General features: G+C 42.2%; 1 protein-coding gene across 11 annotated transcripts in view, besides 2 other annotated features; it reads left to right on the top strand.

Moving 5' to 3' along the window:
- The window catches only part of CPAP (centrosome assembly and centriole elongation protein), a 51722-nt gene that overhangs the window by 28743 nt on the left and 9866 nt on the right, over positions 1-13113 (top strand). For 8 of the 11 annotated variants that reach the window (NR_047595.2, NR_047594.2, XR_941627.2 and 5 more), the window contains 3 exons: positions 1200-1332; positions 5674-5839; positions 12391-12615. Coding sequence is in view for 7 of the 11 variants with exons in the window: in XM_047430483.1 (XP_047286439.1) it covers positions 1200-1332; positions 5674-5839; positions 12391-12615 (524 nt within the window). In the remaining 4 variants the exon portion in view is untranslated. Of the gene's footprint in view, positions 1-1199; positions 1333-5673; positions 5840-7719; positions 7941-12388; positions 12616-13113 lie in introns of those variants that run through there. The other 3 variants (XR_941628.2, XM_047430485.1, XM_017020673.2) reach the window with 3 other exon arrangements.
- Positions 4668-4747: an enhancer, noted in NCBI's record as "active region_7480". NCBI's record gives its function as "activates an Ori minimal core promoter by ATAC-STARR-seq in GM12878 lymphoblastoid cells {active_cell/tissue: GM12878}" and the evidence as "EXISTENCE:reporter gene assay evidence [ECO:0000049][PMID:35858748]".
- Positions 10582-11500: an enhancer, noted in NCBI's record as "H3K4me1 hESC enhancer chr13:25467896-25468814 (GRCh37/hg19 assembly coordinates)". NCBI's record gives its function as "activates a minimal SCP1, AML or CMV promoter by ChIP-STARR-seq in primed H9 embryonic stem cells {active_cell/tissue: H9 hESC(primed)}" and the evidence as "EXISTENCE:reporter gene assay evidence [ECO:0000049][PMID:30033119]".

Raw genomic sequence — 13113 nt, 5'->3', positions numbered from 1 at the left:
TCCTTATTGCTCAATAGAATTAAGTCAAATTAATGGGTGATTTGTAAAAATTTGATTTATTTTATGGGTCTATATGAGGCTTTAAAATTAATTAGTTTTTAATAAAGTGAGATAACATCAAAGCTTCTACGTTTCCTTTCTTCCCCAGACCTGGTTCAAGTACCCCTTCCTAGAGGTACCAGTATTACCATTTCGTTTGTGTATTCTAAAGAGTCCGTGCATATAAAAGCATATGTGTCAGTTTGTATATAATTACCTTTCTATACAAATGAAAAGACTCTTTTTGTATACTGTCCTGCACCTTGCTTATGATAAATTTTGAAGATTGTTCTAACGCATGTACACACCTACCTCATTCCATTTAACGGATGTGTAGTATTTCTGTTGATGTAACGGACTTTTTAAACTCACCCTGAAAGATTCCTTTCCATTATATTATATTATAAACTAGCAGAGCATAGGTGCTTTAAAATAGAAATTAAAATAGAAATTATAACGTTAATTTTCAAAAATTCTGATTTTAAAAGTAATTTTTTTGTACAAAGTTTGGAAGCTTAAAAAGCATAGAAGCAAAAATATTTACAACTTAACTACCCAAAAGTAACTGCTATGCCATTTTGGGATATTTCATTCCAGTCATTTTTTCTATGTAGTTTTAATATGACAGAGTTGTATAACTTAGCTCATTTCTTTAGCCTTGTGGATCACATTTAGTTTCTAAAAAAGTACTAATTGATAAAAATGCTTGAAGGACAGAAGCACTGGCTATTTTACATTTTAAATAGCAAATTTGATAAAGGGAAAACAATTTGCATTTATTTGATTAATAGTAGGGGTAAACTTTGATTTTGGTGTTGATTAGCTCTTCAGATCTCTTGTGGATTACTTATTCTTAAGCTATTTATATATATTCGTCTTTGAAAAATTGATTTGAATGATTTCTTTTTATGTATCATGTTGATTCCTTGTCAGGTCGATACTCTTTTGAGGTAGATTAATTCTTCCATAAATTCCCACTGATTTCCTCAGGAAAGTTAGGTTTAATTTTTTTTCCTTTTCATGTTTGAAGCATTGTTTCTAATGCATTTTAATAGCACAGATGTTTGCCATATTCTTGGCTCTTAGTGTTACTAGCTAGCTAGTGTTTTTGCTGCAGTAATGCCTTTTTTGAAGTTCAGTATTTATGGCCTATTTCATAGGTGACAATGCTCGATCCCAGGTTTTGAGAGAGAAAATTATTGAATTGGAAACAGAAATAGAAAAGTTTAAAGCTGAGAACGCATCTTTAGCTAAACTTCGCATTGAACGAGAAAGTGCCTTGGAAAAACTCAGGTACGTTTGGGTCTGTAAGTTGGGAAAAAATATGCAGTGACTCAGTTATACCTTTAAGACCATCTATAAACAGTCTGAAACAATTTAAATCAGTCAAACAAATATAATTGAAAAGGAGGTGAAATCTGTATCATATAAGTTTTTTTTACTGAATAAAATGACCCAGGGTAGTCAATGATGTGTACAAAGGGGAATTTTTCTTAGTGGAGAGATCATAAATTAAAATTTGAAAAACAGTTTGGAGCTATGGTACCTTCAAGTGGTACTTTGGCTAGTTAGTGTATTGGTTTCTCTGGGCTGCTGTAACAAAGTACCAGCAACTGGGTGGCTTTAAACAATAGAAATGTATTTTCTTGTGATTCTGGAGGCTGTAAGTCCAAAGTCCGGGCATCAGCAAGGCGGGCCATGCTGGCTCCTCCAGCTTCTGGTGGTTTCAGGCACACGTTGGTATTTCTTGGATTGCAGCTACATCACTCCAGTCTCTGCCTCTGTGGTCACATGGCCATCTTCCCTCTGTGTGTGTCTTCACATGGCATTCTCCTCTGTGTGTGTTTGTCTTGGTGCCTCTTTTAAGGATAGGGTCATATTGGTTTAAGGGCCCACCCTACTCCAGTATAACGTCATCTTAACTGGCATCTTAATTGTATCTGCAAAGGCACTATTCACAGGGATTGGGACTTCAACATATTGTTTTAGAGGACACAACTCCACCTACAGCAGTCGATAGTATGACATATCGTCTCCTACCCTAGGTCATGATCTTACCTGACTTTATTGGTTAGCAAAACTTGAACTGAACTTACATGAGGCTATTTATATATGTTATATTTATTATTTCTCTCTATATAAATTTTACGTAGACATATTTTTTAATTGTACTTGTGAATAGTACTAAGTTCTGTTGCAGGAACATACTAGTACTTTTTATTCCAGGTGTTGCTCTGGGTCTTGTTGGGGATATTATATGTCACATACACACCGTATTTCTTTGTTTTTTGGTATTTGTTATTTTAATGTTTGAGGAGAAATTCATACAACTGTAGTTCCCATGGCTGCCTGCTGCGGGATGGGATCTAGGGGATGGTAGCTGCTATGCAAATGCTGAAATTCACCCAAATTTCCCAGCCTCTTTGTTCTTTAGCACTCCCCAGGATGCTGCAAGTCTTTCGTTAGTGTCCAGAGTTCCGAAGTGGTTGATTCTGACAGGTGCTGCTAGTTCAATAGCTGCTTTGGTGGAGGGACTGATTGTTGGAGCTTCCTACTCCACCATCTTCCTTAACATCTCTTCCGTATTTCTTTTCTAAAACCTGAAAAATATGAATTCTAAAGCACATCTGGCCCCTAAGTTCCAGATAAAGGTTTATAGACAGCTATTAATCCACTTAAAAAGGAAATTCGGTTACTATACTATAATCTGCAGTATGCTTAAAAATCAAATTCTGAAAATTTGTTACTTTTTAATGGAAACATCTTTGTTTTTCAGCTGATACATACTGTAAATGTATGCTTATCATAGTAGTTATGGGTAAAATGTGGAACTTATTCCAATCCGTTCTCCACCCAAGATCACTTTTAAAACGTCTCTGCTTCATTATTTCAAAACGGACATCTTTTTCTTTTAAAGAACATTTAAGTCATAAGATAATGGCTGGGTTTTTGTTTTTTTGTTGTTGTTTTTTGTTTTTTTTTAGCATTTTCCCTATTTCGGTTTTGCTTTGTTCTAAGCAAAATTCAGTCCTCGAATTTAGACATTGTGTTATCCTTCCCAATTGACAGATGAGGAAACTGATGCACTGAGAAGCAAGTTTTTTAAGTTTACCTCCTTAGTCAGTGACAGAGAGCCTCAGTGCCAGCCTAGGCAGTGTGGTTCAGTAGAGCCCTGGGCTCTACTGTATGGGCTCTTTAATCTGCTTTTTATTTTATTTTTATTTTTTTGAGACAGGGTCTGGCTTTATCACCCAGACTGGAGTACAATGGTACAATCTTGGCTCACTGCAACCTCTGCCTCCTGGGCTCAAACCATCCTCCACCTCAGCCTCCTGCGTAGCGGGGACTACAGGCACGCACCACCACGCCCAGCTAATTTTTGTATTTTTGGTAGATACGGGGTTTTGCCATGTTCCCCAGGCTGGTCTTGAACTCCTGGGCTCAAGTGATCCCCCTGCCTTGGCCTCCCAAAGTTCTGGGCTTACAGGCATGAGCTACGATGTCCAGCCTTGCTTTTCATTTCAACAACATAATAGACATCTTACCTATTAGCACGCCCTAGTCTTCTGTATCCTTGAAATGACTGTATTATATGAATGCCACTGTGACTAATCAGTTAATGGAAATTTAGCTTGTTTAGAATTTTCCACATTAGAAATTATTCTGCAGGGAATATCGTCATATGTATAAGACACTTTTTATTTAAAAATCTACTTCCTTGTGATAAATTTTAAGAATGTCCATTGCCCCAGTCAGCATCTGAGGCTTCTTCTCACCCCTTTCCCCATCACTGGAGTTGAGCGTTAGCAGTCTTTCAAATCTTGCCAACCTGATAATTATGCCATCTTTCACCTGCTAAAGTTTGTATTTATTTAATTATTGATAAAGTTGAGCATGCTTTTATATTTAGTGGTCATTTGTGTTTATTTTGTAACTTTCTTTGTGATCTTTGCTCATTTATCAGGATATTTAACTTTCTCAAATGTGCCACAAGTATTCCTCCCCCAGTGTTTGCTTTGACTATATGATTGTGTGCACACGGTCGACATTTTGAATAGTCAGTAAGAATGTCTTTTACCTTTTCTGTCTGCTCTCCCTCCAGTGAGGCAGGGAGAGACTTGTCCGGTCTCAAGGCTTTAAATGCTGTTACGCCCCAGATCCAGTTCTCTCGCCCACATCTCCTATCCCACTGCCTCGTTGTTCTCTCTACCTGGAGAGCTGATGAGTGTTTAAATTGATCATTTAGAAAAAGTGAGCTCCTGACGTTCCCTCCTGAACTTACTCTTCTCTTCTTCTTCCCTGTCTCAGCACATGAGTCTGCTCTTCCATTTGCCCAGTGGAAAATCTTGGAGTCATGCTTGAGTCTTCTCTTGCTCTCTCAGTCCATTTCTAACCCGACTGCTTCACTGCCTCAGAGCTGCCACTCTCCACCAGGACCCCATTGGCTTTCTCTGGTTATTAAATTCACTTCCTAGCAGGTCTCTCTGCTGCCCGCGTCTGTGCTCTTCACACACATCCAGAGCCAGCCTGCGTTTGGACGGTTCATCTGATCAAGGCCTCCTTCCTCTTTTTTTTTGAGATGGAGTTTCACTCTTGTTGCCCAGGCTGGTGTGCAATGGTGCGATCTCGGCTCACTGCAACCTCTACCTCCCAGGTGATTCTCTTGCCTCAGCCTCCCGAGTAGCTGGGATTACAGGCATTCGCCACCATGCCTGGCTAATTTTGTATTTTCAGTAAAGACGGGATTTCTCCATGTTGGTCAGGCTGGTCTCAAACTCCTGACCTCAGGTCCAGCTCCTGGCCTGATCTGCCCGCCTCGGCCTCCCAAAGTGCTGGAATTACAGGAGTGAGCCACCGTGCCTGGCCTGTCTCCTCCTTTTTTGACACCTTCTCCTGCTACCCATCCTTTGCTCACTGTGTTTTAGTCACACTGGCCTCCTGGCTGTTCTTTGAACACCTCAGGCACATTCTTGCCTCAGGGCCTTGGCACTTGCTGCTCCTTCTGCCTGTACTGCTGTGTGTGGACACCCTTGTGACTGGCTCTCTCATTTTCTTCAGGTTTCCTTCATGTTATCTCAGCAAGATAAGCCCTCACATACAACACAGTTTCACCCTCCCACTCTGATATTTTCTAAACTTCTTCCTTGCTTTATTTCTCTTTAATGCTTCTAATATTCCATGTACTTATTTATCTTTATTATCGTCTGTCTTCCAATAGAATGTAAGAAGCTGCATGGGAATACATTTTTTTTTTTTTGAGACAGAGTCTGTCTGTGTCGCCCAGGCTGAAATACAGTGGTGCGATCACAGCTCATTATAACCTTGAATTCCTGGGCTCAAGCCTGCCTCAGCCTCCCAGTGTTGGGATTATAGACTTGAGCCACTGTGCCCAGCTAGAATGTTTGTTTTTTTCACTGTGGTTTCCCCACTACTTCGTCGAATGCCTGATTCATCGTAGGCACCCAATGAATGCTTATTGGATGAATGCTTTAGTGAGTGGATTGGCTGTTATTTCAGGCCTATGGATTGAAGATGAATTCACTAGGACTAGCAGTTACTAGCCTGTCAGCAGGTTCTGCACATCACTGCACTGAGATGGTCTCCTTAGGTGATAACATAGTTTGGTCATTTTAGGAAAGAAATTGCAGACTTCGAACAACAGAAAGCAAAAGAATTAGCTCGAATAGAAGAGTTTAAAAAGGAGGAGATGAGGAAGCTACAAAAGGAACGTAAAGTTTTTGAAAAGTATACTACAGCTGCAAGAACTTTTCCAGATAAAAAGGAACGTGAAGAAATACAGGTATGCTAGTTCTTTATGTTATATTCATGTAAGTTAGTAAAGGTGACAATCTTGTAAGCATCTCAGAGTTATTTCTTATGTCAAAGCAAAACTGTGTATCAATCCATTATTCATTCATTCAGCAAATAATCTGTCTGAGACAGTGTATCAGGAATATCTTTGGTAGTCTGACTTTTAAAGAGTAGAAGATTTCAGTTCTTTTCTTACTAGTAAAGTCTTCCTAGAAAAGACCACGATAATGTCATGGATGAATTAACAAGCCTGGAGTTGGAAATTCACCAGCATTATGTTGTGTTAATCTTTTTGACCTACCACCCACCAAATATTGTTAGTTCTGTTCATTTATCATAATTTATGGCTGTAAATAACCAGGTGTTTAATTCTAAAACTTATAAACTGATAGGCCAGATTATCAGTCTTGTTCATTTCATAGTTAGAAGTGGACATGCTAAAACTATAAACCTTCTAGAAAAAAATAGGTGAATTTATTTACGACATTGGCATATACGAAGATTACTAAGAGAAGACACAACTAACTATAAAAGAAAAAATGGATATATTGGACTTCATCAAAGTTGAGACTTATCAAAAGAGAAATTTAAAATGGCTATCCATTGCTTCTAGTATAAAATGCACCTTCCACTGTCTGTATTTTAATTACTAGCATTTTTGAGTTCCATCCTTTGCTTTCTTCCTGTCTCATGCAGCCATCCTTGAGCAATCTCACCTGCACACGTACAGCTTGAGTTATTGAATAGCATGGTGTTCAGGGTCTTTAATTCTCCTTCTTTATTTTTGTGGGAAGAAACGTACCATTATGTTTTGGTTAATGCTTAGTTTATTAAATCTAATATGTTAGATGTTGACAATATTAAAACTTTTATTTCAAAAGGTAATATAAATATATTATCATTCAAAAGTTACAAAAAGATGGGTGGTGAAATTCCTCCCCAACCCTTGCTCCGGCCACCTATTCAGTTGTTTTTTGAAAATAATTTTTTATTATAGAAAGTTTCAAAAATACATAAAAGTAGCAAGAACAGAATGAATTCCCATATTTTACCAGTGATCATTTTGTCTAATTTCATCTCTCTCCCCGCTGTACTCTTTTTTTGCTTTTTAATCTGGAATTTAAAAAGTGAAATCCCAGACATCTCCTCATTTCACCTATACATAGTCAGTATGTTTCTCTGAGAAAGACACCTTTAAAAAATAAGACTATTGGCTGGGGGTGGTGGCTCACTCATGTAATCCCAACACTTTGGGAAGCCAAGGCAGGCAGATGGCTTGAGGTCAGGAGTTCGAGACCAGCCTGGCCAACATGGCAAATCTCCATCTCTACGAAAAATACAAAAAAATTAGCCGGGTGTCGTGGTGTGCCTGTAGTCCCAGGTACATGGGAGGCTGAGGCAGGAGAACCACTTGAACCCGGGAGGAGGAGGTTGCAGTAAGCCAAGATCATGCTACTGCACTCCAGCCTGGGTGACAGAGTGAGACTCCGTCCACGGGGCGGGGGACAATTATCATACCTTTGTCACACCTAACAAAATTTACAGTAATTCCTTAGTATCAAATAATACTTAGTCCATATTCAGATTTTCCAGTCGTTTGGTATCTTTTTACAGTTGATTTGTTTGCATTCTAATTCACCTCTCGAGGCAGCCAGTGTTATCAATCTCATATTTTCCCAGAGAAATTCTTAGAAAGTACATATATACATTCATGATGTTTTTTTAAACATTAATGATAGTTTACTGAAATCATTATGTATCTTAACAGAACATCTTTGTTCTTTGTTTTATTATTGTATAGAATTGTAATATGTGCCATAATTTACTCACCTAAGCACTATGTATTTCTGTTCTTTTTCTGTTTACAAGAATCCAAGAAGGGCTGTACTGAATAACTGCGCATATGTGACCTCTCACAATCATTCTCCCACTTATTCATTCAGCACATGGCTACTGAGTACCTGCTGTGTAGCAGGCATATACTGGCAATGCAGCAGTGAACAAAACAAATCAATCCCTGTCCTCATGTAGCTTATGTCCTGGAGTATATCTCTAGGATGGATTCCTACAAGTGAATTTTGAGGTTAAAGGTATGTACATTGATACAAATTGCCAGATTATCCCTCCATAAACATCATGCCAAATTTTAGTTCAGTTTTTTATTTTTATTTTTTGACACACTCTGTGGCCCAGACTGGAGTGCAGGGGCTCAATTTCAGCTCACTGCAACCTCCGTCTCCCAGATTCAAGCGATTCTCCTGCCTCAGCTCCCCAAGTAGCTGGGATTATAGGTGCCCACCACCATGGCTGGCTAATTAATTTTTAGTTCTACTAGCAATTCTTAGAGTGTTTTTTGTTCTCTACCTGATAGGTAAGAGGTTTAAAATTGATTTTAAACTTAATTGAATTTCTTTTAAACAATCTGAGTTATAGTTACAAATTTAGTATGGCTGTTTTTAGTGAACAAGACATATACTTGAACCAGTAGTTATAACAAATTCTGCTATCAGAAAACTTCACTAAATTAAAAACCATAGCCTAAAATACATGATGGGTTTGTCATTTCATTTTTCTTTCTGGATCTCCTAGGATTAGAGATAACCTTGCTGTGTTATGAAAATCTTACCAGATCCAAAGGGAAAAAATAAATAACCTCCTTAGACCACACAAGGTTGTGAGATTGATTGCTTTTTTTCCTTCTCTTTCTCATAGCTCTGATCCTGACTACTTCTTCCAAGGATTCAAACCAGAGCAAACACACTTCTTTTTGTTGTTGTACTTTGTTAGATGAATAACGTGGGTTTTCTTTTCTTGCAACTTGATGCCTTTCCCTCACAAGATGTGTCCTCTGATTCTCAGGCTCTGCAGTCCAGGCTGCTAGCTCTTATCCCTGTGTGGCTATTTCCATTTAAATTAATTAGAGGTAAATTGAAAATTCAGTTTCTCATTCCCATTAGCTACATTTCCAGGACTTAGTAGTAGCCACCTGTGGCTGGCTGGTGGCTGCCACACTGCACCATGCAGGACTGGGCACATCCTCACTGCTGGCAGCTCTGGGCTGTGCCCATTCAAGGGGCTTGTTGGGTGGCAAGGGGCTGGGCTGGTGAGTTGCCGTCCCTCTTCAGGAACTCATTCTTGAACTCTCGCCTTTGTTCGTTTATATGACTTCTGGTGTTGATTGAAGTTTGGACCCTGTTCGTACTTGGTTATCATGTGTAACCCTGGGTATTCATTATTTCTTGCTGGTTTTGGTGCAGTTCCTTTTCTTCCTTACACCATTTGGCTTATTCATAGTTCCCCGTATTTACCTTTCTTTTTACTTCTGTGCAAAAATATACTTTAAAAACAGATATATACTTAATAGAAAACAAACCTATGTTTATTGATACTCTATTAAATCATCAAAAAATTAAGGAGAGGGCATATTTAACCTTCCTTTACATTACAGTTATGTTGAAAAATATTAACTATTTTATTTTGGGTATTCATTCAGCAAATTTATTGAGAACCCCTTATGTACTAGACACTTGTAATCATTGAGGAATTGATGAGTTAGCAATTTCTGCCCTCCTGGAATTTATATTAATCATTACTGAGTCATAGCTTTTCACACACTCAGGTTACTCTAATTAATTATAAAATTTCCATTTTGATATTTAAGTGGTCCCAACTTGACCAGTGGGGGAGCCCCTTTAAGTCCATGGCTCCCTTGCCATTTAGTGCTGCCCTTGGCGTTTTGAGAGCACTGCTTTCTGGAACAACGGGTTATTTAAGACTGTTTGGTTTTGGCTTTCTTTCTTTATTTCCTTTCTTTCCTTCCTTTTTTTCTTTTCTTTTCTTTCTTTTCTTTCTTGACGGAGTCTCACGCTGTCACCCAGGCTGGAGTGCAGTGGCCGGCCCCTCCCGGCTTCACGCCATTCTCCTGCCTCAGCCTCCCCAGTAGCTGGGACTACAGGCACCCGCCACCACGCCCGGCTAATTTTTTTTTGTATTTTTAGTAGAGACGGGGTTTCACCGTGTTAGCCAGGATGGTCTTGATCTCCTGACCTTGTGATCCGCCCGTCTCAGCCTCCCAAAGTGCTGGGATTACAGGCGTGAGCCACCACACCCGGCCTTGGCTTTCTTTTTTAAACCTGCTCGGGGTCTGGCATCTACTGCGCTGCAAGGAGCCGGGCTCCTCCGGGGCTGCTCTGAGCGTAGAGCCTGTGGAGGTTGACAGAGCCGGCTGCGCCTTCCGCAGGTGCGGAGTCCCCTCGGCCTTCCCTGCCCTGGCTTCTGCGCTTTCTTCCCGTTTTCACGGCGCTGGCTCTCAGCCGTGCTCACCGGGACCTGGCAGCCGCCTCTGCCTGAGCCTTGCCCGCGGGACGTGGAGGCCTTGCCTCTGAGCTTTCGCGCTGCGCTGGAAGTCTGCGCCCCAGCCGCGGATCCCACCCGCCAGCCAGGCCTGCTGGCTTCACCCCGCAGGTCGTTTCCTCCTGCCAGTTTCCCCTCCCGGCTCCTCTCCCGTCTGTCTGGGTCTGGACCCTCACCAGTCCCCCAGCCTAGGGGCTCCCCTCTCTTCCTCTCCCCCATCCCCAGGGTCTCTGCTGGCTGGCTGCGGCCTCTCCCTCCCTTTGCACCCCGAGGGCGTGTCATCCTCCACCCACTCCATCCCCGTGTCCCGCCCACGGAGCCCACCCTCCGCCTCCGCCTTCTGTCTCCTCCGCGCGTTCTGCCCCCAGCCTTCCCATCCTTACCGCTGGCTGGCATTTCTTTAAACAAAACTCACTCAACCCCACAGCCCTATCTGTTTTTTCCTTTGCAGCAAAACTCCTTAAAAGCCTTGCCCATATTCACTGTGCCTGGATCTCCAAATCTCACCAGCTGTTTTCGCCACACGCCCTGCAGCGCGGCCTCCGGTCATTCTATGGCACTGACACGGCCCCTGTGGAGCCACTGTGAACCCCCAGGCCTCATCGCGGCCGTCTGCCAGTGTCCATCCTGGTGCCGTCTTCCCCTGTGCTTGGGCCAGAGGCCTCGAATCATTCTCGAGGCTTCTCTTGCTCTTCCATTCCTTGCTGTTCTGACAGAAAGTCCACTCAGATTCCAGTTGCCACCTCTGGGTTAATGACTTGCTGGCGGCTTGGCCTCCGCTCTTACCCCGTCCCTGTGGCGTCGCTCCACGTGACAACGGATCCCCTTCGCTCAGACACCTCCATATGCCTCTGCTTTCCTTCCTCCAAGAACCTCAGTCCCTATGTGACTGGGCCTTTTTTCCCCTTCCTGTCCCTGGCCAGTCCTCCTGCCATTTACTTGTCATCTGCGCTGGTCCCTTGTAGTGCTGGCACTGTGCCAGGCACCCTCCTGTTGCTTCCCACACGCGCTGCCTCCCCCAGCTCTGTTCAGTGACACCCAGCACGTGTCATCCTGCCTCCCCACACAGCCCCGCCACCTTACCTGCCCTGGCCACTCTCCCGTCACCCCCTCACCTGCCCCAGCCACTCTCCCATCACCCTCCCACTGTCCCCGGCAGAGTGAGCCTCATGAGATGGAGCTTTGTTCTTAGTATAATAAGGGCCTGTGACAGTGCCTGATAACAGATATTTTGTAAATATTAATTGCTCTTGAATTCTGAACCCATTTAGACTTGTATTTTACCATTTTCATATTAAATCCATATTCCTGCATGATAAAAGTGCTTACCAGAAATTTTTCTTTTATTGGTCATAATCCGTCTCACAAATGGGAAACCTGATATTCATGGAGGTTGTGGATCTTACCTTGTTTTAAGCATTCAAGTCAGAAAACTCGGATGTGAACCTTGATGTCACCCAATCCAAAGTCCACACCCTCTGTGGTGGGGCCCAGATGTCCTCTCCATCCTCACCAGGCTGCCGTGTGGCTGCCGCAGGGATTACTGAGGTGCAGGGGCATGGGCCGGGCCGCACCTGCTGCCTCACCACTGATGGGCTTCGGTGCCCTGCTCCTTCCTCGACTCTAGGTCAGTCGCTATCACTTGCAGCTGCACGTGATCTCGAATTGCTTCTAGACATTTCCAGCATATTCTTCCCTTATTTTAGTCTTTCTAAAACAACTCATTTTTCTGGAAATTTATTTCTTCTCATGAATTTCAGATAGTTTTCAGGGCAGGTAGTTTTGACTTTGGAATCTTTTATTCTTTAGCTCTAGTCTTCCTTCAGTTATTCATGAGTTCCTATTGCATTTCTTCTTTTTGGGATCTCCCCCCTGGATCCCTTTCAGTTAATAGCTCAGGTGAGGTCTTTCCTACCTCTTGGCAGTTTTCTGCTGTCAGCTCCCATGTGCTGTCTGCCTTCCTTTCTCCTGGCTTCTGGAATTAGTTTTGCTGATGGTCTGCGGTGAGACTCTGATCCCCTCCTCCCGCCGCTGAAAACCACGACATTCGTCTTAAATGTCGTCTGTTGACTAAGCCTTCCCTTTCTTGCTGGCTATTCTGTTTCATTGCTGGGTCTCTATTCTTCTATTGTTTTAATTCTGGTAATGTAGTAATGGTTTTTTCTTTTTGTTTTTTTTTTTTGAGAGACTTTAAAACAGCAAATAGCAGATTTACGGGAAGATTTGAAAAGAAAGGAAACCAAATGGTCAAGTACACACAGCCGTCTCAGAAGCCAGATACAAATGTTAGTCAGAGAGAACACAGACCTCCGGGAAGAAATAAAAGTGATGGAAAGATTCCGACTGGATGCCTGGAAGAGAGCAGAAGCCATAGAGAGCAGCCTCGAGGTGGAGAAGAAGGACAAGCTTGCGGTAGGCAGGGAGGCGGGTGGGTTGTGTCAGGCCAGGGGGAGCTTCAATATCTGAGCATTCAAATTCATAGAGTCAGAAAGTAGAATGGGAGCTGCCAGGGGCTGGGGGGGCAGTGGGGAGTGACTGTGAATGTGGACAGTTTCCATCTTGTAAGATGAAAAGTGTCCTGGAGCTGGATGGAGGGCGATGGTTGCACTACACCGCAGATATCCTTAATGCCACTGAAGTGTGCACCTAAACATGCTGAAGACGGTGAATTTTATGTGATATCTATTTTACCACAACTAAAATGATTTTTCAAGCATTGCTGTAAACGGGTACTTTGCAGACTCATTTCTCTAATTCCTATGGAGGAGGTTTGCCACAGTAGGCAGATCATCTCTGTTAAAACAGACCAGGGAGATTTTGGCCAAGAGTGGCACGCATATGACACTTTTTAATCAAGTAATTGGTCTTTCATTCATCTCTGTGAACAACCAGGGTGTGCCAGGCACTGCA

This window comes from Homo sapiens, chromosome 13, assembly GCF_000001405.40.
Source record: "Homo sapiens chromosome 13, GRCh38.p14 Primary Assembly".
In the NCBI taxonomy this organism is placed as follows: domain Eukaryota; kingdom Metazoa; phylum Chordata; class Mammalia; order Primates; family Hominidae; genus Homo; species Homo sapiens.
The sequence above is the reverse complement of the archived record's forward strand: the minus strand, read 5'-3'. Positions and strand labels throughout refer to the sequence as shown.